At 45.3% G+C, this 27037-nt stretch overlaps 2 protein-coding genes and 1 long non-coding RNA gene across 8 annotated transcripts in view, besides 4 other annotated features; all 3 read left to right on the plus strand.

Moving 5' to 3' along the window:
• The window catches only part of ACOT11 (acyl-CoA thioesterase 11), a 90965-nt gene extending 84946 nt beyond the window's left edge, over positions 1–6019 (plus strand). Inside the window, exon 17 of the mRNA NM_015547.4 lies at positions 1515–6019. Within this exon, the coding sequence (NP_056362.1) occupies positions 1515–1556 (42 nt within the window). The 3' untranslated portion in view covers positions 1557–6019. The remainder of the gene's footprint in view (positions 1–1514) is intronic.
• Positions 3787–4418: an enhancer, noted in NCBI's record as "NANOG-H3K27ac hESC enhancer chr1:55102633-55103264 (GRCh37/hg19 assembly coordinates)". NCBI's record gives its function as "activates a minimal SCP1, AML or CMV promoter by ChIP-STARR-seq in primed H9 embryonic stem cells {active_cell/tissue: H9 hESC(primed)}" and the evidence as "EXISTENCE:reporter gene assay evidence [ECO:0000049][PMID:30033119]".
• Positions 7159–7672: an enhancer, noted in NCBI's record as "H3K27ac-H3K4me1 hESC enhancer chr1:55106005-55106518 (GRCh37/hg19 assembly coordinates)". NCBI's record gives its function as "activates a minimal SCP1, AML or CMV promoter by ChIP-STARR-seq in naive and primed H9 embryonic stem cells {active_cell/tissue: H9 hESC(naive and primed)}" and the evidence as "EXISTENCE:reporter gene assay evidence [ECO:0000049][PMID:30033119]".
• Positions 7673–8185: an enhancer, noted in NCBI's record as "H3K27ac-H3K4me1 hESC enhancer chr1:55106519-55107031 (GRCh37/hg19 assembly coordinates)". NCBI's record gives its function as "activates a minimal SCP1, AML or CMV promoter by ChIP-STARR-seq in naive H9 embryonic stem cells {active_cell/tissue: H9 hESC(naive)}" and the evidence as "EXISTENCE:reporter gene assay evidence [ECO:0000049][PMID:30033119]".
• The window catches only part of MROH7-TTC4 (MROH7-TTC4 readthrough (NMD candidate)), a 100918-nt gene continuing 82447 nt past the window's right edge, over positions 8567–27037 (plus strand). For 2 of the 3 annotated variants that reach the window (NR_037641.2, NR_037640.2), the window contains 3 exon segments: positions 8567–8795; positions 18776–18810; positions 19680–20984. This is a non-coding gene — a long non-coding RNA (MROH7-TTC4 readthrough (NMD candidate)). 3 annotated transcript variants of the gene reach the window in all.
• MROH7 (maestro heat like repeat family member 7) overlaps positions 8613–27037 on the plus strand; it is a 68481-nt gene continuing 50056 nt past the window's right edge. For 2 of the 4 annotated variants that reach the window (NR_111931.2, NM_001039464.4), the window contains exons 1-3: positions 8613–8795; positions 18776–18810; positions 19680–20984. Coding sequence is in view for 1 of the 4 variants with exons in the window: in NM_001039464.4 (NP_001034553.3) it covers positions 19754–20984 (1231 nt within the window). In the remaining 3 variants the exon portion in view is untranslated. The remainder of the gene's footprint in view (positions 8796–18775; positions 18811–19679; positions 20985–27037) is intronic. The other 2 variants (NR_026782.3, NM_001291332.2) reach the window with 2 other exon arrangements.
• Positions 10769–10969: a silencer, noted in NCBI's record as "peak242 fragment used in MPRA reporter construct". NCBI's record gives its function as "represses an SCP1 promoter by STARR-seq MPRAs in K562 erythroleukemia cells {active_cell/tissue: K562}" and the evidence as "EXISTENCE:reporter gene assay evidence [ECO:0000049][PMID:32103011]".

Raw genomic sequence — 27037 nt, forward strand, 5'->3', positions numbered from 1 at the left:
TATACCTTTAAAATGGTTAACAGATAAGCCAATTTGGATAGCACATTGGCCACTAAGTAAAGAAAAACTGGAGGTTTTAGAGAAATTAGTTGCTGAACAATTAGAAAATGGGCACATAACTCCAACATTTTCTCCTTGGAATTCTCCAGTTTTCATAATTAAGAAAAAATCAGGTAAATGGAGAATGTTAACTGACTTAAGAGCCATCAGTTCAGTTATACAACCTATGGGAGCATTACAGCCAGGATTGCCTTCTCCTGCTATAATTCCAAAAAATTGGCCTTTTAATAGTCATAGATTTAAAAGACTGTTTCTTTACTATACCTTTAGCTGAGCAAGACTGCGAACAGTTTGCATTTACAATTCCTGCATTAAACAACCTGCAGCCTGCTAAGTGTTATCATTGAAAAGTGTTGCCACAGTGCATGCCAAACAGCCCAACAATTTGCCAGACATATGTGGGGCAAGCAATTGAACCTACCCGTAAAAAATTTCCACAGTGTTACATTATTCACTGTCAACTAAAAACATTAAATGATTTTCAAAAATTACTAGGGGATATTAATTGGATACGACCTGCTCTAGGCATTCCTACCTATGCCAGGAGTAATCTGTTTTCTATCCTTGGAGGAAATCCTAGTCTCACTAGCCCTCGGCAATTAGCAAAAGAGGCTGAGGCAGAGTTACAACTGATTGAGAAGCAAATCCATAAAGCTCAGATAAATAGAATAGATCCAGAGAAGACTCTAGATTTGCTAATCTTTTCAACTCAGCATTCACCTACTGGTGTTATTGTCCAAGAACAGGACTTAGTAGGGTGGCTTTTTCTTCCACATACTAATTCACAGACTCCAACTCCTTATTTAGATCAAATCGCTACTATGATAGGGATTGGGAGAACTCGGATTGTTAAATTACATGGATATGATCCTGGAAAAATTACTGTCCCTCTCACAAAGGCACAAATACAGCAAGCTTTTATAAATAGTCTTACTTGGCAAACCCATTTAGCTGACTTTGTGGGTATTCTCGATAATCATTTTCCTAAAATGAAGCTATTTCAGTTTTTAAAATTCACTAATTGGATTCTCCCTAAAATAACTAAATTTAAACCAATTGAAGGTGCTGAGAATGTTTTTACAGATGGGTCTAGTAATGGTAAAGCTTCTTATTCTGGCTCAAAAAGTAAAGTTTTTCAGACGTCCTGTACTCAGCTCAAAAAGCGGAGCTTGTAGCGGTAATTGAGGTATTGACTGCTTTTGATATGCCTATTAATGGGATTTCTGATTCTTCATATGTGGTTCATTCCACACAGTTAATTGAAAATGCTCAGTTATGATTTCATACCGATGAACAACTGATGATAAAAACAAAAAAGGTGGAAAAATAGGGATTACAGAACAGCCCATACACAATTGAATCTAGCATTATTTGGTGAAGAGATCCAATAACAAAAAGTTGGGAAATAGGTAAAATAATAATTTGGGGTAGAGGTTATGCTTGCGTTTCTCCAGGCCAAAATCAACAGCCGATTTGGATACCTTCAAGACACCTGAAACCTTATCATGAGCCAGATGCCAAGGAAGAGACTCTGGGAGGATCCAGAGGACCCCCTGGTTGCAGCCACGTAGAGACTGACGCTGAGGAGGACTCCAACTATCATGAGCAACACCCGTCGAACACAGCCACCCCGCTAAGAACAGATCAAGAAGCTGTCACAGATGGCGGAAGAAAACCTGAGGAAAGCGGGACAACCAGTCACAATGAATAATTTAATGGTAGCTATGATAGCAGTTATCACCACTGCCGTGAGTATTCCTTCAATAAGGGCTGGTAATAATGCCTGGATGCAATCATTCTATGACACAGTTACACATGCTTTCTGATCTCAGTATTTACCATAATAAATCGGCTCCTATAATTGAGGCATACCACCCTCAAAAACCTATTTGTAAACAGGATTGGACCCAGTTAGAAAAAATGAACGTACTTATTTAGGAAGATTGCTTTGCAGAATAGGCAGAGATGCTGCACAACGATTCCTATGGAATCATTACTAATTGGTCCCCCAAGGGGATGTTTAGCTTGAATTGCACCTCTCAGTCTGCATGCCACGGTCACACTATGTTCAGATGATCTGAACAAAACAGTCAGATGGTAGAAATGTTAAGTACGGCAAAAGTTCCTATTATCTGGAACCATGGCGGTATAGTGGCACCTCAACCTCAAATAATATGGCCCGCTCTAGGAGCTAAACATAAGGATTTGTAAAAACTATTAAATGCTCTTAATAAGATCAAAATTTGGGAAAGAATAAAAGAGTATCTAGAAGGACACTCTACAAACTTGTTTTTGGATATAGCAAAATTAAAAGAACAAATATGTAAAGCATCCCGGGCAACCTGACCTTAATGCCAGGAACCAGAGTGCTTAAAGGAGCTGCAGAAAAATTAGCAGCTAGTAACCCATTTAAATGGGTAAAAACACTTGGAAGCTCTGTGATTTCAATGATGACTATGCTTTTTAATCTGTTGTTTGCCTTTGTATAGTCTGCAGATGCGGATCCCGACTCCTGCGAGAGTCTCTTTGCAAATCGAAGAAGGGAGACATGTTGGGAGCAAGCCCCCCAGAGTCTGGCCATAAACTGGCCCCAAAACTGGCCATAAGCAAAACCTCTGCAGCACTAAAACATGTCCATAATGGCCCTAACGCCCAATCTGGAAGGTTGTGGGTTTATGGGAATGAGAGCAAGGAACACCTGGCCTGCCCAGGGCGGAAAACCGCTTAAAGGCATTCTTAAGCCACAAACAAAAGCATGAGCGATCTGTGTCTTACGGGTGTGTTCCTGCTGCAATTAATTCAGCCCATCCCTTTGTTTCCCATAAGGGATACTTTTAGTTAATTTAATATCTATAGAAACAATGCTAATGACTGGTTTGCTGTTAAATGAAGGGGTGGGTTGCCCCTCCACACCTGTGGGTGTTTCTCGTTAGGTGGAACGAGAGACTTGGAAAAGAGACACAGAGACAAAGTATAGAGAAAGAAAAGTGGGCCCAGGGGACCAGCATTCAGCATACAGAGGATCCACACTGGCACCGGCCTCTGAGTTCCCTTAGTATTTATTGATCATTATCGAGCATGGCAGGATAATAGGATAATAGTGGAGAGAAGGTCAGAAGGTAAACACATGAACAAAGGTCTCTGCATCATAAACAAGGTAAAGAATTAAGTGCTGTGCTTTAGATATGTATACACATAAACATCTCAATGCCTTAAAGAGCAGTATTGCTGCCCGCATGTCATACCTACAGCCCTAAGGCGGTTTTCCCCTATCTCAGTAGATGGAAGTATATTCCATGTAAAGTAAATCGGCTTTACACCCAGACATTCCATTGCCCAGAGACGAGCAGGAGACAGAAGCCTTCCTCTTATCTCAACTGCAAAGAGGTGTTCCTTCCTCTTTTACTAATCCTCCTCAGCACAGACCCTTTATGGGTGTCGGGCTGGGGGATGGTCAGGTCTTTCCCTTCCCACGAGGCCATATTTCAGACTATCACATGGGGAGAAACCTTGGACAATACCTGGCTTTCCTAGGCAGAGGTCCCTGCGGCCTTTGCAGTATTTTGCGTCTCTGGGTACTTGAGATTAGGGAGTGGTTTGAGATTAGGGAGTGGTGATGACTCTTAAGGAGCATGCTGCCTTCAAGCATTTGTTTAACAAAGCACATCTTGCACAGCCCTTAATCCATTTAACCCTGAGTTGACACAGCACATGTTTCAGGGAGCACAGGGTTGGGGGTAAGGTTACAGATTAACGGCATCTCAAGGCAGAAGAATTTTTCTTAATACAGAACAAAATGGAGTCTCCTATGTCTACTTCTTTCTACACAGACACAGTAACAATCTGATCTCTCTTTTCCCCACAGTTAATAAATATGTGGGTAAATCTCTGTTGGGGGCTCTCAGCTCTGAAGGCTGTGAGACCCCTGATTTTCTACTTCACACCTCTATATTTTTGTGTGTGTGTCTTTAATTCCTCTAGCGCTGCTGAGTTAGTGACCGAGCTGGTCTCGGCAGAGGTGGGCGGGTCTTTTGAGTTCAGGAGTTCAAGAGCAGCCTGGCCAACATGGTGAAACCCCTTCTCTACTAAAAATATGAAAATTATCCGGGCATGGTGGTGTGCCTCTGTACTTTCAGCTACTCAGGAAGCTGAGGCACAAGAATTGCTGGAACATGGGAGGTGGAGGCTGCAGTGAGCTGAGATCATGCCACTGCACTCCAGCCCAGGCAATAGAGTAAGACTCTGTCTCAAAACAAAAAGAGTTTTAGGCCAGGTGTGGTGGCTCACGCCTGTAATCCCAGCACTTTGGGAGGCTGAGGTGGGCAGATCACCTGAGGTCAGGAGTTCGAGACCAGTCTGGCCAACATGGCGAAACCCCATCTCTCTCTACTAAAAATACAAAATTTAGCCAGGTGTGGTGGTGGGTGCCTGTAATCACAGCTGCTTGGGAGGCTGAGGCAGGAGAATTGGTTGAACCCAGGAGGCAGAGGTTACAGTGAGCAGAGATCGTGCCACTGCATTCCAGCCGGGGTAAGAGAGCGAGACTCTGCCTCAAAAAAAGAAGGCTTAGTGTGCAACTCATCAGAGTTGCACAGGGCAGAGAAAGAATGGGAAAAAAACAATTTCTAGAAAACTTTTCGAATTTTCTGATCAACACCAAATATTCCAAATAGGAAAAATACAAAAAAATCCATACCTATATGTGGCATAATATGATTGTAGAGCACCAAAGTAAAAGATCTTATTTTTTATTAAAATTAAAAAAAAATTAAAATAGAGGGTCTCACTATGCTGCCCAGGCTGGTCTTGAACTCCTGGCTTCAAGCTATCCTCCCACCATGGCATCCTAAAGTGCTGGGATTGCAGGCATGAGCTGCTGCATCTGGCCCAAAGTAAAAGATCTTAGAAGCGGCCAGAAAAAATAGATTTGGGCTGGGCATGAATAGATTGATCACCAAAAAGGTGGCAGACTAACTTCTCGACAGAATCCACAGAAGCCAGAAGGCAGTGGAACATTAGCTTTGATGTACTAAAATAAAATACCACGCTAGGCTCCTACATACAGTGAAAATGTTTTGAGAATGAGAATTATAATTTTTTGGCAAACAAAACTAAAGGAGTTTACAACTAAGAAACTCTTTTGTGAGACAGCCTTGCTCTGTTGCCCAGGCTGGAGTGCAGTGACGAAATCTCAGCTCACTGCAACCTCGGCCTCCCGGGTTCAGGCAATTCTTGTGTCTCAGCCTTCCAAGTAGCTGGGATTACAGATGTGCGCCACCAGGCCCAGCTACTTTTTATATTTTTAGTGGAGATGGGGTTTCACTGTGTTGGCCAGGCTGGTCTCAAACTCCTGACTTCAAGTGATCTGCCCGCCTTGGCCTGCTAAAGTGCTGGGATTACAGGCATGAGCGACTGTGCCTCTCCAGTCCCTGTGTTTTTTTTTGTTTTTGGAGGTTTTATTTGTTTGTTTTTAGAGACACTTTCACTGTGTTGCCCAGGCCTGTCTGTTGGCCTCAAGTGATCCTCCTGCCTTGGATCTCCCAAAGTGCTGGGATTACAGGTGTGAACCACTGTGCTCAGCCCATTTTTTATTTGTTTCTTGAAGGAAGGTAGCAGTATTAATTAATTTTGGACTTTGCTCACTAAAGTTTGAATGTTAAGAATAGATGTATACAGTCTGGATGCAGTGGTGCATGCTTGTAATTTTAGCACTTTGGGAGGCTGAAGCGGGAGGATCGCTTGGGCTCAAGAGTTTGAGACCAGCCTGGGCAACATGGTGAAACCTTGTCTCTACAAAAAAATTTTAAAAAATTAGCCAGACATGATGGCATGCACCTATAATCCCAGCTACTTGGGAGGCTGAGGTGGGAGGATTGCTTGAGTCCAGGGAGGTCGAGGCTGCAGTGAGCCATGATCACACCACTGCACTCCAGCCTGGGTGACAGAGTGATACTGTCTCAAAAAAAAAAAAAAAAAAAAAAAGAAAGAAAAAAGTAGATATATATGAGACTCACTTGGGCAACATATGGAGACCTAGTCTCCACAAAAAAATTTAAAAAATTAGCTAAGTATGGTGGCATGCACCTGTGGTCCCAACTACTTGGGAGGGTGAGGCAGGAGAATTGCTTGAGACCAGGATGATCCCTTGATCCTGGCAGGGGGTGGAGTTGAGGCCGCATTCCAACCTGGGCAACAGAGTGAGACCCTGTCTCAAAAGATAAATAAAAAAGAATAGACATATAATATGTAACTTCCAAACAAATGAAAGGGAAATAAAGGAGTACGAGAAGAAAGGCAAATTCAATGATCCAAAACAAAGTGAGAAAAGAGAAAAACAAAATAAAAATGAAAAAGGAGAGGTTCTGCTTGTAATAGGCGAAGTAGCTCCTATCAGATCAACCTTCATACCGGTAACAATTATGAGCTCTGAACAAAAACAAACAAAAAACCTCCTGAAGACTCTGGAAAGAGAGCAAAAACAGGGAGAACCTAAAGGGAAACCGACAGTTACAAGAAAATAAATAGCTACCGGGTGCAAAGGATATTTAAAATCTCACAAACATGATAATTGAACCAAAGAAGTCAGAAGAAAGGAGTCTGTGTTTTATAATTCCATTTATATGAAGTATGAAAACAGGCAAACCATATTAAAAGTCAGGATAGCTGTTCCCCTGACGAGGAGGATAGCGATTGGAAGTAGGACATGAGGAGGATTTCTGGGGTCCTGGTAATGCTCTATTTCTGGATCTGGGTGCTGGTTTCATGGGTGTGCTCACTTGGTGAAAATTCATAAAAATAGACATGACATATGCAATTTTTTGCTTCAGTACAAACTTAAAAATCAAAAGGGAGCAGAGACAAGATGGACAGGCAGGCAGGGCAGACTGTGAAGGGGCCTCAATGCCAGACTAAGGAGCTTGACGTGACCCTGGCAGCAGTGGAGGACGCTGAAGGTGTTAAGAGGGGAAATGAGTTGTCAGGGAAGCTGCCTCTCTGCCTAATGCGGGTGGCTAGGAGAGGGGAACACCTGCCCTGTGGGACATTATTTACAGGACTGGCCAGAATCTGGGCTTTCAATGACGAAGATCTGAGCTAGGATGGAGGGTGTGAGGTTGGAGGCCAAGGATTTGGAGGTAAAATTGGAAGGACTTGGGAGTTTACATGCAGGAGGCCAGAGAGGAAGAGGGAGGAGTCAAAAACGATCATTGGAAGAGGCTTTTCACTGGAGATAAAGAGTGAGGGAGGGGACGCTGGGGAAAGAAGTAAGTTTGAGGGAAGAATTTGTTTTTTTTTTTTTAATCAGGGTCTTGCTCTGTTGCCCAGGCTGTAGTGCAGTGGCACCATCTTGGCTCACTGTAGCTCGACCTCTCAGATGCTGGTGATTCCCCCCACCTCAGCCTGCTAAGTAGCTGGGACTACAGGCGCATGCCACCATACCTGGTTGATATTTTTTAATTTTTATTTTTAGTAGAGATGAAGTCTCACTATGTTGCCCAGGCTGGTCTTGAAATCCTGGGCTCAGGTGATCCTCCTGCCTCGGTCTCCCAAATTGCTGGGATTACAGCATGAGCCACTGCACCCAGCCAAAGGAAGGATTTTTGCTGGGGAAGGGGCAAGTGGAGGAGGAATCCTCGATGACACAAGGCCTCTGAAGCAGCAGAAGGAGACTGGGGGTGCAGGGGACCCCCTGTCCAGATTTGGACAGGAGAGGAGAGAAGCAGAAAAAGTGAGATCCTAGGTGGACTGGAGGGAATTCAGGAGAGCCCATCAGCTGCTCACTAATGTGAAGTCACAGTCAAGTGTGGGGACTGAGTCGGATGAGGCTGACTTCTAGGCAGCTTGTCTGACAACAGGTTATGCAGTGTATCTAAGGACATCCTGACCTGGGGGAACAGGAAGATGGGAAGATTCCATTATCATTTTGTAAATGGTGCCCAGTGAAGTTTCTATTAGTATCTAGTCTCCAATCATCTTAATTAGCTGAGCTATTGCTCATCATCAAAAGGATTTTCTTTAGAAAGATAGCCGTAGAGTCTTGCTTTTCTTATCAAAAGATCTAGATGACACTGCTGTGCCCCGGCCTGCCCCACCCTCATTCCTGCCCTGCTCCACGCACTTATCTGTGCCTGGAACAGGAGTTAGGGTGGAGTAGGAAAAAGATCAAGGATTTGAGTGCACAAGGACAGGCAGGCATCCTAGCTCCTGACCTTGGGCCAATATTTTCTCGCTATGGGTCTCAGTTGCCTCATCACAGACCACCTGATTTCAAAGCCCTTGTCACCCTGAAATACACAGAGGTCCAAGGTCATATGGTGAGGGGTTTTTATGGGAAGACTTGAATTCTGGATGAGAAACTCAGTGTTTATTAGCAGTGAAGTCCTTTCCGGGAGGCTGAAGAGAGTCTCAGGGCAGGTAGTTCTTTGAAAAGACCCCATCTCTTCTCCCCACTATATAGGTGGGAGCAGGGGTCTCATTGGCTGAGGGACTTCTGGGTCATGGTGACCTCATAAAGCCCGTAACACTGGCCTGGGCTGGGGAAGCCTAGGTAAGCTGAGGGGCAGCTCTGGGAAAGTCCTAGGGGTGGGGGCAGTCTCCACAGCCTCCCACAAGGGAGTTACCACCTTCCCGCACTTCTGGGTACAAGTCTCCTGCTCTGGCTGTATTCCACAGTTAGAACTTCATATCTTTGGCTTAGAGCTGGATTTTCTGTTACCATGTGGATGCTCCAGGTGAAGGTAACACATTGAACTTTACATGAGCAGCCCAAGGCTCACAGAAAGTTTAGGCTCTCAGGTCCTGACAGTGTAGTGGCTGGGAGTTGGGGGGAGGTGAGGGGAAGGGAGTGAAAAGATGCAGGGAGGGAATGCCATAAATCTGGGGAAAGAAGAGTCTTGGAGCCTGGAAACCATACTTTGTCTTTTTTCCAAGTCTCCCCAGCCTGCCCTCACCCAGGGGAGGAAGGGATGGTGGGGATGAACATTTATTGAGGACTTGCTGTGGGCCAGGCCCTGCGATCATCACTTTATGTGGGCTATCTCATCTGGAATATTAAGATAGAGGCTTAGAGTCATGAGGGCATCTGTCCAGGTCCACACAGCTGGTGAGAGAGAAGGTTTTGAATTCAGGTCTGCCTGACTCCAAAGCCTTGGATGTTGGCATTATAGCTGGGTATCAGGAAAGTTGCCTTGTTTTCACTGAACTTTTCCTTTAGGATAAGGACCTAAAAGTGGCAGAGGGAATGGGGAATAAGAAACAGGAAGACATGGTTCCACTGAGTAATTCATGTCTTGGGAATCTCTATGGTATTATAGGGAAAACTGTGGGTTGAAGAAACATGGATTTGAATCCAGCCTCTACCACTTGCTTGGGAATTAGTAGAAATCAATTTATTTTATTTTTTGAGACAGAGTCTCTCTCTGTCACCCAGACTGTAGTGCAGTGACATGAACACAGCTCACTGCAGCCTCAACCTCCCCGGCTCCAGTGACCCTCCCACCTCAGCCTCCCAAGTAGCTGGGACTACAGGTGCACACATCATGCCTGGCTAATTTTTGTATTTTTTGTAGTGACGCGGTTTTGCCATGTTGTTCAGGCTGGCCTTGAACTCCTGAGCTCAAGGAATCCTCTTGCCTCAGCTTCCCAAAATGCTGGGATTATAGGCGTGAGCCATTGTGCCTGGCCAGAAATAACTAGATTCCTGCACAGTCTGAACTAACATGCCAATGAATGAGATGATGACATCTTTCTTGAAGAGTTGTCATTCATTCATTCATTCATCCTTCCCTCACTCCGTGAATGTTTTCTGAACCTTCCCTGTGTGCCATGTGCTATGTGCTGGGAAAATAGGGGTAACAAGATAGCCAGACACTCACCAAACTCATTTTCAGAGTAGATGCATATAAGTAAACAGACTGATCCTCTGATACAGAGTGATCACATGAGGAGGGTGCCTCACCCACATTTGGGGATTCCAGGAAGACTTCCTGGGGGAAGGGACATCTAATCTAAGCTGGTGTCTGAAATGTGACTAGACTAGATGTTAGCCAGAGGGAGCAATTGAAGTTTAGGTGAATAGTCTTGGGGAAGTTTATAGGAAGAGGAAAGAGTATTTGCAAAGGTCCCAAGGCAAGAGGGAGGCCAAAACATTGAGGATCCTGGAAGAAGTTGAGAGTGGTTCAAACGTGGTGCAAGGCCAGGGAAGGGAATGAATCTAGCTGGAGAGATGGAGGGGCTAGGCCTGTGGGCTGAGGACTCTGACAGAAGAAACACAGATATCAGACTTCAGATTAGGGTGTCTTCACTCCTGGCCTGTCCACCAGTCATGCAAAAGTCGCTTAGGAGAGGGGAGGTAAGGGAAAGCTTCATGAAAGAGTGATTCCTGGATCCCTTCAGAACTACAAAGCAGAGTCTCTGAGAGTGAGGCTTGGGAATCTATCTTTTAAAAAATATAAGCTACACCCACACCCCAACATTTGAACACCTACAAGAAGTCACATAAGGGTTACAAGAGGTGAATGTCATGGTTAGACTTGCATGCATTTTTATTTCATCTGAGAATGTCTTTATTTCCCTTTCATTCCTCAAGTATAATTTTGCCTATTATAGAATGTGTGGTTGAGAATTTTCTTTCAACTCTTGAAAAATATGTGCCACTTCCTTTTGGCCTCCATAGTTTCAGATGAGAAATATGCTGTTATTCAAATTGGTGTTCCCCTATAGGTAAGGCTCTCAGGTTGCTTTTAAGATTTTTTTTTAAAGTCTTTATTCTTCAGAAGTTTAATCATGATGTGTTTTGGCATGGATTCCTTTAGATTTATCCCATTTGAAGTTTCAGCAGTTTTCTGGATCTGTATATTTATGTTTTTTACTAAATTTGGGGAGTTTTCAGTCATGACTTGCTAGTAATGCTTTTTCAGCACTCTCTTTTCTCCTTCTGGAACTCTGATGATATAAACATTATTTTGTTATTGTTCCACAGATTCCTGAGGTTCTGGTTTTTTTTGGGGGGTGGGGAGGGGGGTCTATTTTCTCTTTGTTGTTTAGACCTTCCTTCCTTCCCTCCCTCCCTCCCCTGCTCTCCCTCTCTTTCTTTCTCTTCTCTTCCCCTTCCCTTCCCTTCCCTTTCTTTCTTTCCTGTCTTGCTCTGTCACCAAGACTGGAGTGTAGTGGCATGATTTTGGCTCACTGCAACCTCCACCTCCTGGGTTCAAGCAATTCTCTGGCTTCAGCCTCATGAGTAGCTGGGATTAGAGGTGCCCACCACCATGCCTGGATAATTTTTGTATTTTTAGTAGAGATAGGGTTTCACCATGTTGGCCAGGCTAGTCTCAAGCTCCTAACCTCAGGTGATCTGCCTGACTCAGCCTCCCAAAGTGCTGGGATTACATACATGAGCCACTGTGCCTGGCCGATTTTTCTTTCTTCTGTTTTTTAATGTAAAAAAAAAAAAATAGAAATGAGGTCCCACTGTGTTGCCCAGGCTGGTCTAGAGCTCCTGGGCTCAAGTGATCCTCGGCCTCCCAAAGTGCTGGGCTTATAGGCATCAGCCACCATGTCCAGCCAAATAACTTTTTTTTTTTTTTTTTCTGAGATGGAGTCGCACTCTGTCATCCAGGCTGGTGCCTGGAGTACGGTGGTGCAATCTCAGCTCACTGCAACCTTTGCCTCCCAGATTCAAGCAATTCTCATGCCTCAGCCTCCCTAGTAGCTGGGACTACAGGCACCTGTCACCATACCTGGCTAATTTTTGAATTTTTAGTAGAGACGGGGTTTCACCATGTTAGCCAAGCTGGTCTTGAACTCCTGGCATCAAAAGATCTGCTTGCTTCGGCCTCCCAAAGTGCTGAGATTACATGCATGAGCCACCATGCCCAGCCAAAGCATTTTTATGATGACTGCTTTGAAATCCTTGTCAAAAATTCCAACATCTGATTCATCTCAGTGTTAATGTTGGTTGGTTGTCTTAAGATGAGATTTTCCTAGTTTTTGGTATGATGAGTGATTTTTACTGCATCTTTGACATTTTAGGTATTACATTAAGATTTTTTTTTTCTTTTTTCTGAGACAGTCTTGCTCTGTCACCCAAACTGGAGTGCAGTGGTAGTGGTGCAATCTTGGCTCACTGCAACCTCCACCTCCCAGGTTCAAGTGATTCTCCTGCCCAAGCCTCCTGAGTAGCTGGGATTACAGGTATGCACCACCATGTCCAGCCAATTTTTTGTATTTTTAGTAGAGACAGGGTTTCACCATGTTGGCCAGGCTGGTCTTGAACTTCTGACCTCAAGTGATCTGCCTGCCTTGGCTTCCCAAAGTGCTGGGATTACAGGTGTGAGCCACCGTGTTAAGGTTTAGTTTGTAGGTTCTGGCCTACTTTTGTGGACTGTAGCTCCAATGATATTTCTTTTCTTTTCTTTCTTTCTTTCTTTTTTTTTTTTTTTGAGACAAACTCTCTCCCTGTTGTCCGGGCTGGAGTGCAACAGCAAAATCTTGGCTCACCGCAGGCTTGCCTCCCGGGCTCAAGCAATTCTCCTGCCTCAGCCTCCCGAGTAAGGTAGGACTACAGGCGCACACCACCACACCTGGCTAATTTTTGTATTTTCTGTAGGGATGGGATTTTGCTATGTTGCCCAGGCTGGTCTTGAACTCCTGAGCTCAAATGATCCACCCACCTCTGCTTCCCAAAGTGCTGGGATACAGGCATGAGCCACCGCGTGCAGCCAAAAGTTATTTTAAAGTAGAGAAGTTCTTGGCACTGTTCCGTACTCTGACAGTCCTGGCACAGGCCCGGTCTCCAGTGATATTTATGACTCCTCATTTGCTTCATTTTTCTGGTATTGCCGGGGCTCCTGTTTATTCCTGCTGGTGCTGCCTACAGGGGTAGAAGGCATTTCCCTGGGCCACTTGTTATCACTGGAGTGGGTGGGGGAGGCCAGAAGATGTAGGGTCTGGTAAAATGTCTGATGCTGGGTGGAGGGCCCAGAGATCCAGGGTTCTGCTGACATTGCCACTGCAGGTTGGATTGGTCTGTCACTGCTCCAGGTATGGAGAAGGGATTGGGGCTCCCCACTGGGAGACCCTCTCTGTTGGGCTTCCTCTTTCCGGGTCTTTTTGGCTGGAGAAAGCAAGTTTTTCTTCTACTTTTGAGTGTGTGTTTATGCTGTCGGCAGATCTGTGTGTCAGGCTTCTGTGGTGCCCAGTTTGGGTTATGTGAGTGATGAAAAGAAAACTCCAGGGAACTCACCATAGTGTCAGCCTTCAAGTCCTGAGATGCCTAGTCAGTCACTGCCTTCTTTCCAGCCATCAGAATCCTTTTATGGTTGTCTGTTGAACTATTTCCAAAATATTTAGTTATTTTTAGAAGGGAAGAACAGAGAAAAGTGAATTGACAACCTTGTCTATCACATCCATTAAAAAAAAATGTGGTATAAGGCACCCAGCATAAAATTGACCATTAGTGACAATTACTGTGTTCATAAGGTTGTGTAACCATCATTACTATCAGAATATTTTTCTGGTCCAAAAGGAAACCCTATACCCATTAAGCAGTCACTTACCATTCCCTGCTTTCCCCTTCCCCTGGCAACCTCTCTCTGTCCTGCTTTAATCTACTGTCTCTGTAGATTTGACTATTCTGGATATTTTATATAAAGGGAGTCGTATAATATGTGGTCTTTTGTGACCAGCTACTTTCACCTAGCATAATGTCTTCAAAGTTTATCCATGTTTCACATGCATGAGTACTTCATTCCTTTTAGTGGCTGAATAATCCACTGTACGGACATACCATATATTGTTTATCCATTAATCAGTATGTGGCTATTTGGGTTGTTTCCACCTTTGGCTCTCATAAGCCCCAGCTCCTGGCTGACAGTGTCTTTTGAAGCAAAAAAGTTTTAAATATTGCTGATGTCCAATTTATCTATATTTTTCTTTTGTTGCTTATGTTTTTGGTGTCATGTCTAAGAAACCATTGCCAAATCCAAGATCATGAAGGTTTACTCCTATGTTTTCTTCCAAGAGTTTTATAGTTTTTGCTCTTACATGTAGGTCTTTAATGCATTTTGAGTTAATTTTTGTATACAATGTGGGATAGGAGGCTGGGTGCAGTGGATCTTGCCTGTAATCCCAGCACTTTGGAGAGGCTGAGGCAGGAGGATCACTTGAGGTCAGGAGTTTGAGACCAGCTTGGTCAACATGGTGAAACCCCGTCTCTACTTAAAAAAAAGGCTGGGCATGGTGGCTCACGCCTGTAATCCCAGCACCTTCGCAGGCCAAGGTGGGTGGATCACCTGAGGTCAGGAGTTCGAGACCAGCCTGACCAATATGATGAAACCCCGTCGCTACTAAAAATACAAAAATTAGCCGGGTGTGGTGGCATGCACCTGTAATCCCAGCTACTGGGGAGGCTGAAACAGGAGAATCACTTGAACCCAGGAGGCGGAGGTTGCAGTGAGCTGAGGTCGTGCCATTGCACTCCAGCCTGGGCAACAAGGGTGAAACTCTGTATTGAAAAAAAAAAAAAATTAGCTGGGTTTGGTGGTGGGCACCTGTAGCCCTAGCTACTTGAAAGGCTGAAGCAGGAGAATCGCTTGAACCTGGGAGGTGGAGGTTGCAGTGAGCCAAAATTGTGCCATTGCACTCTAGCCTGTGTGACAGAGTGAGACTCCATCTCAAAAAAAAAAAAAAAAAAAAAAAGAATGTGGGATAGGAGTTCAACTTCATTCTTTTGCATGTCAATATCCAGCTGTTCCACTGCCATTTGTTGAAACATTTGTTGAAAAGACTATTATTTTTGAACATACAATTTATTTAATTATTTTATTGTTATTATTTTTGAGATAGAGTCTTATTATGTTGCCCAGGCTGGTCTCGAACTCCTGGGCTCAAGTGATCCTCCCACTTCAGCCTCCCAAAGTGCTGAGATTATAGACGTGAGCCGCCATGCCCTGCTGAAGACACTATTCTTTCCCTATTAATGGAGGAGTTACCACCCTTGTCAAAAATCATTTGACCATATAGGCATGGATTTATTTCTGGACTTGCAATTCTATCCCATTAGTCTATATATTTATCCTTATGTCAGTACCACACTGTTGCATGCAATTTTATTTATTTATTTATTTATTTATTTATTTATTTATTTATTTTTTGAGACGGAGTTTCGCTCCTGTTGCCCAGGCTAGAGTGCAGTGGCGCAATCTCGGCTCACTGCAACCTCTGCCTCCCAGGTTCAAGCAACTCTCCTGCCTCAGCCTCCCAAGTAGCTGGGATTACAGACGGGTGCCACCATGCCTGGCTAATTTTTTGTATTTTAGTAAAGACAGGATTTCACCATGTTGGCCAGGCTGGTCTCGAACTCCTGACCTCAGATGATCCACCCAGCTCGGCCTCCCAGAGTGCTGGGATTACAGGTGTGAGCCACTGTGCCTGGTCTGCATGCAATTTTGAAGGAAGATCTCTATGGCTTACTTTGGAAAATGGTTTGTTGGAAGCTGGTCTAGATAAAGGGACCCCTGTTGAGCAAGCAATTCCAAGATCCAGCCTCAAAACAATGGGAACTGGAGTAGGGTCTGGTAGTCGTGATGAAGAAATGGGGAGAGATTTGAGAGCTGTTCTGGAGCCAGAATTAGCAGAACTTGGCCAAAATTGGGTGCAGCAAGTGAGAAAGAGAGCACTCAAGGAGGATGTTGTTTCTGGCTTGGATGATAGATGGTGCCAGTTCCTTGCAATGGAGGAGAATAGAAGAGTCCTATTTAGGGGAAAAATGGAGAGTCTGTTTTGGATGCTCTGGGTCTGAGGTGCTCCAATCTCAGCTGTTCTGTGTGTGCAAATGTGTGTGAGTGTATAGGTACTTGCACAAGTGTCTAACACATTCCAGGCCCTTACATCTGATAACAGTGTGTTCTCAATGATGAACTGGACAATCTATTGATAGTTCCACCCCTTGAAGGCTCTAGCAACCCTTGTCCAGGGCCTGGAAGGGTTAATTGAGGTGGAGAAGGGAGGATGGCAATTGGTTAATGATTCTCTCTGTCTTAGACAGCACTAGTTGTTTTATGGGTGTGCTCTGACCTTTCCATCTGGGGCTCCAGGATTGCAGGGCAAAGGCCAACAGGCAGTTTGTGGCTGTCAGCAGGGAGTAGTGAGCTCCTTTAGCTCCTGTAGATCCCACCCAAGCCCCTCAAGAGCCACGGCTCCTCCTAATGCACAGTGTCTGTTTGGTAGAGGGCAAGCCATGGGCTACCCCAGTCACTGCCAGGCAGCTCTGAAGACTTGCCTGTCTGTTGCAGGATGGAGGAGGAGGACTGGGGGTAGGTCAGCTGGGGTTGAGATCTGTGGCCTTCTGCCCAGTGACCTGGTATGGTGCATCTGCTGGGGTAGAGATGAAGTCTTTCTTCCTCAGCCCAAACAAGTTAGGTCTTTGAAGATCTTAATCACTGCCTCGTAGGCTGCAACAAGCCATATTTTCCAGGTTAAAAATGCCTCCCTTTGGTGACTATGGTCCTGTGTGTGTGCATGTGGCACGTTTACACACGGGTGGCAGAGATCATTAAGGGAAGATTCACGCTCCTCCTTAAGTAAGAAGAGACAAAATTATGGACATGAAATTAAGTACAGGGCTTTGGAAAGGGACTGTGAAATCAAGGAGCAATCAAATTTTACATTCAGGGTAAAATTGCCTCTGGTGCTGATGGTAAGTGAGCATTTCTTGCTTCCAAGGCAGATGCAAAGCTGTGCAGGAACTGCTTGCTTGGAACTTGCTTCCAAGGCAGATGCAGAGCTATGCAGGAACTTGCTTGGAATGAAGGCAGCTTCCACTGGGTGCTGAGTGCCTTATTCCTTTCTGCCCACAGTGCCTGGCAGAGAGGAATAAAACAAGTAGCTACCATTTAGTTAAGGGCTTCGGTGGGCCATGTACTCCATGCCAGGCACTGTAACTACAATCACCCCTGTGGAAGGCTTTATGTGTTCCCTATCTTAGAGATGGGGAGGACAAGGGCCAGAGGGGAAAAGTCTCTTGCCCATGTTCACCCATACTAGCAAGAGGTTGAGCTGGGCTTTAAACTCAGGACTACATGAAGAAATATATGGTCTTTCCAAAGCCATGCTATAAAGATACACAGCAAAATTTGTGGAGTGAGTAAATGATTCACTGAATGAGTTAGCACATGAATGAATGATAAATGAAGAAGTGATGAAATGAGTTAGTGAAAGAATACCTCATCAAATGAAGAAGAGTCTCCCCTTGCCACCCATTGCCCTTCTCTTATTTCCTCCTCCTTTCCCTCTGGCCTTCCTCTTCCCTCTCCTCTTTACTGCCTCTTTTCTTCTCCCTTATCCCTCCCTTTTCTTCTCTTACCTCTCCTTTCTTCCTTCTTCTCTTCCCTCTTGCCTTTCTCCTCTCCTCCCTTCCTTCCTTGTTCCTCTCTTATCTCCCTACTTTCCTTACCAATGTTTAGTATTTCTCCCTATGCATGTTGATCGCCATCCCGATTTTTTTTTTTTTTTGAGACAGGGTATCACTTTGTCACTCAGGCTGGAATGCAGTGGCGTGATCACAGCTCATTGTAGCCTCAACCTCCTGGGCTCAAGTGATCCTCCCACCTCAGCCTCCTGAGTAGTTGAGACGGCAGGCACATGCCACCACACCCAGCTAATTTTTGTATTTTTTTGTAGGGACAGAGTCTCATTATGTTGTCCAGGCTGGTCTCAAACTCCTGGACTCAAACAATCCTCCTGCGTCCGCCTTCCAAAGTTCTGGGATTACAGGCGTGAGCCCCTGCACCCAGCTGCACTCCCTGTTTCTTGCATTTTCTTTTCTCTTCCCCAGCTCTCTCATCTCCCTGGCCCTTCCCCCACCACCACTGTGTGGTTCTGTCCTCACCCCTTGCCAAAAGAAATTAAAAACAAAACAAAAACTACAAACAAAGAAGAGAGAAAAATAATGAAATAACACAAACGGGCTTTGGACATTTACTGTGTGCCAGGTGCTATACTAGACATTAGAAATTGGCAGAGAACAAGGCAGATGCAGTTTCTGCATCAGTGGAGCTCATTGGCTAGTGGGGAAGCCAGATACCGTGAGCCAAGAGACGGGAAGGAACAAGGTGGCCTGAGAACTTTCAGGTGGCCCCCACCTGTCTAGGGGACCTGGAAGGCTCTTAGCATTTGAGCTGAAACCTGAAAGGGTGAAGCAGCAGTCATTAGCTGGGGAAGGGGAGTGGAGATGGATGCCCAGCCTGTGGAAGACCCAGACCTAACTGGGAGAGCCTGCCTCTTTGGAGGAAGTCAAAAGAACTCTGCAAGGGTGGAACGGAAAAGGAAAGGGACATATGGAGGGGCAAAAAGGGTGAAAAGGGGACTGGGGCCAGATACAGAGGGCCTTTTGGGTCTGCTAACAACTGGAGGACTCTATCCTAAAGATAACAGGAAGCCATGGAGGGGTTTAGGCAAGGGGATGGCTTAGAGATGGTGTTGGCTGCCCAGAAGGCCAGTGGGGTGAGTGACCTTCCTCTCTTTGACCTTCACTTCCTTATGTATAAATATTAAACTTACTCTCTCTCTCTCTCTCTCTCTCTGTGTGTGTGTGTTTGTGTGTGTGTGTGTGTAGTGCGGAGCTTGTTAACAGACGTGCATGCCTGGCCTGTGGACTGTGCAGTAAGTGTTGAAAAAGGCACTCTTCCCTGACTTGATTTCTTTCTGCATCTCCTCCCAGGGGCCCGCTCCTGCTTAAAAACACCATGCATGCAGGTGAGCTGTCCCTATGATTCCCACAGGGAGGGTAGCCCCAGATTGAGGGTAGGGGTGCTGGGAGGACTGGGGAGTTCATCCAGCAGTTAGATTGCTGTGTTAAGGCAGGTGTTTGACAGCTGCCCTATGGTCTCCTCCACAGAGCCCACTTCACCCGGAACAAGCAAACTGTTAAGGCTATAGGCAGCTTTGCCAGGGTTGCTGTGAGAATCTAGTGCCATGGGTACTGGCAGAGTAGTTCTAGCAACTTAGGAGTTTGTCTCTGGTTTGGAGCACCCCAATCTTGCAAGGCTCAGGGCTCCTTGTTGGTGCACTTAGGTTACCCTGTCACATGTGGCCAGCTGGAAGTGGGGTAACTCATAAGGAGGCTCTTCCTTCCCTTTTTCTGCCTTAAAGTAGAAGAGACTCCTCATTTGTCTATTTGTAAGCTTCCAACTGTGTAACTGGCACTGGGCTAGGAGCTGGGGTTGCCCCAGGGGCCAAGGTATACACAGTTCTTGTCATTGCAAAGCTCATCTCTAGCAAGAGCTAGAACACTAAATGAATTCACTGGAATGAAATGTGCTGAGTATTTTGCTAGAAGTGGGATTAAGCAAAGGATAATGAGAATTACCCCCATGCAATCCTACAAGCCAAGGGGATTGAGTTTGTTCAGGATCATGAGCCAGGAGGGAGCAGGTTGTGGTCAAAGAACAGAACTGAGAGACTGTGGAGGCAAGTGGCAAGTGATGGGCTGGAAAGGTGGGCTGGGCACAGTCACCAGGGCCTTGTAAGTCACAGCAAGGGGCTTTCATCTTAAGAATAGTGGGAGCCCTGGAAAAGCCTTAACAGGTGTGGCATGGCTGCATTTGTCTTTTCTCTCTCTCAAGACTGCTGCTGGGAATGTGACAGTTGGCTGTTGGAGAGAAGCGGGCACTGGCATTGAGAGACCTCCAGACTGGACATGGCCCTGAGTCCAGGGGCTAACCTGGTCTTCCATGAAGACCCAAAGATGACACCAAGTCCCCCCTCCTGTGGGGCCCCGGGATTAGGGTCTGGTACCATCCCTCAGCCCCACCCAGACATGGCTCAGGTGCCTATGTTGAATCTGCTCCCAAGTCCTGGCTTGGCTCTCGTTCCAGATCTTAATGATTCTTTGAGTCCAGTCTCAGGGGAGGCCTCAGGCCTGGTGTCTGAAAACACCCCCAGACCTGATGACAGCAGAGCTATCGCTCCAGCCTCCCTCCAGATCACCAGTTCTTGTTCTGGTGAAGCCCTGGACCTGGATTCCAAGGATGTCTCAAGGCCTGACTCACAGGGGCGCCTCTGTCCAGCCTCAAACCCCATTCTGAGCCCTAGCTCTACTGAGGCCCCTCGTCTGAGCTCTGGGAACCACCCTCAGTCAAATTCTGAAGATGCCTTCAAGTGCCTCTCAAGTAAGATTTTCAAGTTGGGTCAGAGAAACTCCAACCCTTCTAGGCATGAATTAAACCCATTTATAAGGCACCATTCCAGAGAAGGTCTGGTTCTGGGCCACTGCATCTCTAGGCCAAGCTCAAAAGCACTCCTTATTCCAACCTCAAACTCTTCTCTGGACCTTGACTCCAATCCATTGCTCAACATGGGCTCAAGAAACACCTCCAAGCTGAACCTGAATGTAGCTCCAGATTCTCATGGGACCCTAATCCCAGACACAAATGAGACCATCACTTTGGCTTCACATAATATCTCTGAGTCTGTTTCAAAAGGAGCCTTTAGTACCACCTGGAGCACAAGTTCAAAGGAAACCATGAATGTGGCTTCCAGCGGCCACTCCAGATCTGATTTGAGCGTGACCATCACTCAAGCCTCGTATGTGACCCTGATTCCTGGCTCCAGCTATGGTATCAGCCTGCACTCCAGCACCCATGAGCCCAACTCCACCATCTCTCCACCCTCATGCATGACTCTAATCCTGGGTTCCAATGAGACTCTGAGCCTGGACTCCAGCCTCCTGTTCAGCGACACCTCCACCTTGACGCTGAGCAGTCAGCAGGATGATGCCAAGGACAACAGCATCCACACTGTGCCCCTGGAGGAGAATCTGGAGAGTTGGAGTGAGATGGCCAGCATTAAGGTGGGCCAGTTCCCGCTGGGATTCCCCATCTCCAACCCCGCAGGCAAGGACGCCGTGACCTTGCAAGGCATCCCTGAGGGTAAGGCCAGGGCCGCAGCCCTAGAGAGAGCACTGTCCTGGAGGAATTCTGTCTTCAGACTCTTAGGGCAGGGAGAGGAGAAGGAAGGAAGGGGACAGCAGGCAGTTGATAACATATGATTTATTAATTCTATACTAGACATCTAATAATCGGCCTCTGCTAGCAATGTGACCTGGGACAAGCTAATTAATCTGCCTGAGCTTCAACTTCATTGACTGTAATATCAGTATATAGCCGGGCGCAGTGGCTCACGCCTGTAATCCCAGTACTCTGGGAGGCTGAGGCAGGTGGATCGTCTGAGGTTGGGAGTTTGAGACCAGCCTGGCCAACATGGTGAAACCCCGTCTCTACTAAAAATACAAAGAATTAGCCAGGCGTGGTGGCGCATGCCTGTAATCCCAGCTACTCGGGAGGCTGAGGCGGGAGAATTGCTTGAACCTGGGAGGCAGAGGTTACAGTGAGCTGAGATCTCACCATTGCACTCCAGCCTGGGCAACAAGAGCAAAACTCCGTCTCAAAAAAGAAAAAAAAATCACTGTATAATACTTCTATTCTGTCCAAATTATGTCTATTGTATCAACAAACTATCCCTTCCATTCAAAATGTACATCTTTTTCTTCCTTGATACATTTTAGACCTGGCTTCTCAGGTCTGAGCAAGGCCTTGGGGTCCTGTCTGGAACCTGTGCCTCCCTCCTGATTTGTAGGATTTCTGTAAATTAATCCCCTGTCAGTTTCTGATGCTGTAAATATCTTTTCTTAATCCATTTTTATTTGTCCATGCGCCAATACTATATTAAGATTTTTTAAAAAGGACCATGGTTTTGTAAATAGGTGTTCATATCTGATGAGAATCCTATTTTTTTTTTTTTTTTTGAGTGGGAGTCTCATTCTGCAGCCCAGGCTGGAGAACAATGGCTTGATCTTGGCTCACTGTAACCTCTGCCTCCTGGGTTCAAGTGATTCTCCTGCCTCAGCCTCTTGAGTAGCAGGGATTACAGGCGCCCACCACCACGCCCAGCTAATTTTTGTATTGTTAGTAGAGACAAGGTTTTGCCATGTTGGTCAGGCTGGTCTTGAACTCCCGACCTCAGGTGATCCGCCTGCCTCAGCCTCCCAAAGTGCTGGGATTACAGGCTTGAGCCACCACACCCGACCGAGAATCCTTTAAAATTGTTCTGAAAATCAACTTAGCTATTAGTAGATAACATTTTATTTTATTTTATTTTTTGAGACAAAAGTCTCACTCTGTTGCCCAGGCTGGAGTTCAGTGGTGTGATCATAGCTCCTTGCAACTTTGAATTCCTTGACTCAAGAGACCCTCCTGCCTCAGCCTCCCGAGTAGCTAGGACTACAGGTGCACACCACACCACCACACCTGAGTAATTTTATTTTTTATTTTTTGTAGAGATGGGGCCTTGCTACGTTGCCCAGGCTGGTCTTGAACTCCTGGCCTCAAGCTATCCTCCCACCTCGTCCTCCCAGAGCTCTGGGACTACTACAGGCATGTTCCACCATGCCCAGCCTCTGTACATTTTAGAATGCATTTCTAGGGTTTCTTAGGGATTTTTTTAGGGCCTCAAAAAAATCTTGCTGCATTTTTTAAAGAATGTTATCAATTTATTCACCTATTCACACTTTCCTTTACATAGGATATATGCTTTACTAGGATTTAAAAAATTCTTCATAGAAGTCTAGTGCACCCTGGGTTGGGCTAATCGTAGATACTTTATAGTATTTTTTTTTTTTTTTTTTGAGATGGAGTCTTGCTCCGTCACCAAGGCTGGAGTGTAATGGCATGATCTCCACTCACCACAACCTCCGCCCCCTGGGTTTAAGTGATTCTCCTGCCTCAGCCTCCCGAGTAGCTGGGACTACAGGCATGCATCATCATGCCTGGCTAATTTTTGTAGTTTTAGCAGAGACAGGGTTTCACCATGTTGGCCAGGCTGGTCTTGAATTCCTGACCTCAAGTGATCTGCCTGCCTCAGCCGCCCAAAGTGCTGGGATTACAGGCATGAGCCACCACAGCTGTCCCAATGTATTCTTTTTTAATTGAAAAGTTTTTTTTTCGGCTGAGTGTGGTGGCTCACGCCTGTAATCCCAGCACTTTGGGAGGCTGTGGTGGGCAGATCACCTGAGGTCAGGAGTTCCAGATCAGCCTGGCCAACATGGCAAATCCCCCTCTCTACTAAAAATACAAAATCTGCTGGTGTGGTGGCACACTCCTGTAATCTCAGCTACTTGGGAGGCTGAGGCAGGAGAATCACTTGAACCCTGGAGATGGAGGTTGCAGTGAGCCGAGATTGAGCCACTGCACTCCAGCCAGGGAGACAGAGCAAGACTCCATCTCAAAAAAAAAAAAAAAAAAAGCTTTTTTTTCAGGCTGGGCGCGGTGGCTCATGCCTGTAGTCCCAGCACTTTGGGAAGCCGAGGTGGGTGGATCACCTGAGGTCAGGAGTTTGAGACCAGCCTGGCCAACATGGTGAAACCCTGTCTCTACTAAAAATACAAAAATTAGCTGATGTGGTGGCCGGGGCCTGTAATCCCAGCTACTTAGGAGGCTCCTACTTAAACCTGGGAGGCAGAGGTTGCAGTAAGCCAAGATCGTGCCACTACATTCCAGCCTGGGCGACACAGCGGGACTCTGTCTCAAAAATAAATAAATAAATAAAATAAAAATAAAAAAGTTTCTTTTTTTCCAGTTTTTTAATTGTGGTAAAATATACATAACAAAATTTACCGTCTAGGCCAGCACAATGACTCATGCCTGTAATACCAGTGCTTTGAGAAGCCAAGGCAGGAGGATCACTTGAAGTCAGGAGTTTGGGACCAGCTTGAGCAACATAGCAAGACTCTGTCTATATAAAAAACAAAAAAATTCTCACCATCTTTTTTTTTTTTTTTTTTAGACATGATCTCACTCTGTTGCCCAGGCTGGAGTACAGTGTCATGATCTTGCCTCACTGCAACCTCCACCTCCAGGGCTCAAGTGATCCTCCTGCCTCAGCCTCCCAGGTAGCTGGGATTACAAGCACGTGCCACCCTACTCAGCTAATTTTTTAAATATTTTTAGTACAGACAGGATTTCACCATGTTACCCAGGCTGGTCTTGAACTTCTGGGCTCAAGTGATCCACTGCCTCAGCCTCCCAAAGTGCTGAGATTACAAGCATGAGCCACCATGTCCAGCCAAACCTTACCATCTTAAACATTTTTAAATTATTATTATTATTTTTTAGGGTCAGGGTCTCACTCTGTCACACAGGCTGGAGTGCAGTGGAGCGATGATAGCTCACTGCAGTCTCAAACTGCTGGGATCCAGTGATTCTTTCACCTCAGCCTCCCAAATAGCTACGACTGTAGGCACACACCACTACATCTAGCTAATTTTAATATCTTGTAGAGAAGAGACCTCGCTATGTTGCCCAGGCTGGTCTTGAACTCCTGGCTCAAATGATCCTCCTGCCTTGGGTTCCCCAAGTGCTGGGATTTCAGGCATAATCCACTACACCTGGCCCTATCTTAACCTTTTTTTTTTTTTGAGATGGAGTCTTGATTGCAGTGGTGTGATCCTAGCTCACTGCAACCTCTGCCTCCCAGGTTCAAACAATTCTCCTGCCTTAGCCTCAGTAGCTGGGACTACAGGTGTGTGCCACTATGCCCGGCTTATTTTGGTAGTTTTAGTAGAGATGGGGTTTTACCTTGTTGGCCAGGCTACTCTCAAACTCCTGACCTCAGGTGATCCACCTGCCTAGGTCTCCCAAAGTGCTGAGATTACAGGTGTGAGCCACCATGACTGGCCAGCCATTTTTAAGTGAACAGTTTAATACAGTGGTATTAAATATATTCATAATGTTGTGCAACTATTGGCACCATTTCCTCTCCATAACTCTTCATCTTATGAACCTCAAACTCCATATGCATTAAACAATAGCTTCCCATTTTCCAGTCCCCCAGCCCCTAGCCACCACCATTCTACTGTTTCTATGATTTTCACTACTCTAGGTACCTCATATAACGACTTCATTCTTTTGCATGTGGATATCCAGTTTTTCTTGCTCTATTTGTTGAAAAAACTGTCCTTTCCCCAGTGAATGTTCTTAGCATTCTTGTCAAAAATAGACCAACCATAAATGTGTTTATTTCTGGGTACTCTATTTTGTTTCATTGGTCTATATGTCTGTCCTTATGCCAGTACCGTGCTGTTTTGATTATTATAGCTTTGTGGTATGTTTTGAAATCAGGAAGTATGAGTCCTCCAGCTTTGTTCTTCTTTCAAGATTGTTTTGGCTATCAGGGCCACTCTTTGCTTTTTTAATAGGAGCATTTTGTCCATTTGCTTGTTTAAAACAATGTATTTTCAAATTATAGTAGCCTTTTAAAAACTTTTTTGGGGTATAAGATGGATCAGTAAAATATGTAAAGTGTGCTAGTCATCTCAAGTATACAGCTTAATGAAAATTTATAGAAGTATACACTGTGGTAGCTACCACTCAGATCAAGTACCAGAAGCCCAGAAGCTTCCCTTGTGTCCCTTTCCAATCAATAATCCTTCTCCTGGGGCTAGATTTCTCAACTTTGGCACTATTGATATTTTGTGTTGGGAAATTCTTTGGTGTGTGTGTGTGTCTATGTTGGTAGTGGGGATGGGGGTGCTGTTCTATGCATTATGAAATGCACCCATCCCTAGACTCTACTTAGTAGATGCTAGTAGCAACCTCCCATTGCCACCCTCCAGTTGTAAAAACCAAAATGGTTTCCAGACATTGCTGAATGTTCCATGGGGGTTGGGGGGACAACTGCTCTTGGTTGCTAATCACTGCCCCGGAGGTGACAATTCTGATTTGCATCACCATAGACTAGTTTTGCTTATTCTTGAACTTATTGCCAATAGAATAATACTGTATTTACTGTGTGTGGTTTTTTTGTTTGTTTGTTTGTTTTGTTTTTTTTTAGATGGAGTTTCACTCTTGTTGCCCAGGCTGGAGTGCAATGGTGCGATCTCGGCTCACTGCAACCTCTGCCTCCCAGGTTCAAGTGATTCTCCTGCCTCAGCCTCCTGAGTAGCTGGGATTACAGGCATGCACCACCACGCTTAGCTAATTTTTTGTATTTTAATTTTTATTTATTTATTTATTTTTTGAGATGGAGTCTCACTCTGTTGCCCAGGCTGGAGTGTAATGGCACAATCTCGGCTCACTGCAACCTCCACCTTCGGGGTTCAAGCAATTCTCCTGCCTCAGCCTCCTGAGTAGCTGGGATTACAGGTGTCTGCCACCACTTCTGGCTAATTTTTGTATTTTTTTTTTTTTTGAGATGGAGTTTCACTCTTGTTGCCCAGGCTGGAGTGCAATGGCATGATCTCGGCTCACCACAACCTCTGCCTCCGGGTTCAAGCAATTCTCCTGCCTTAGCCTCCTGAGTAGCTGGAATTACAGGCGCTAGCCACCATGCCTGGCTAATTTTGTATTTTTAGTAGAGACAAGGTTTCTGCATGTTGGTCAGGCTGGTCTTGAACTCCCAGCCTCAGGTGATCCACCTGCCTCGGCCTCCCAAAGTGCCAGGATTACAAGCGTGAGCCACTGTGCCCGGCTGTACTTACTGTTTTGACTCTGGCTTCTTTAGTGCAACATTATGTCTGTTGGATTCATCCATATTGTGTATTTCAATAGTAGATTGTTTTTTGGTGTTCTGTAGTATTCCATTGTATGGATATACCACAGTTTGTTTATTCATTCTGCTGCTGATGGACATTAGAATTGTTCCTATTTTTTGGATGTTATTAATAAAGTAGCTGTGAATGTTGTTGACCATGACTTTTGGTGCAGAGATACACTTATTTATGTCAGAGTAGAATTTCTGGGTCATAGTGCAGGCGTATTTATAGCTTTAAGAGATATTGCCAAACAGTTTTTCAAAGTGGTAATCTTAGTCTGTTTGTGCTGCCATAACAAAATGCCTGAGACTGAGTAATTTATAAACAACAGGGATTTATTTTCTCACAGTTCTAGAAACTGGAAGTCCAAGATCAAGGCAGCAGCATTTGGTGTCT

This window comes from Homo sapiens, chromosome 1, assembly GCF_000001405.40.
Source record: "Homo sapiens chromosome 1, GRCh38.p14 Primary Assembly".
NCBI classification, from domain to species: Eukaryota; Metazoa; Chordata; class Mammalia; order Primates; family Hominidae; genus Homo; species Homo sapiens.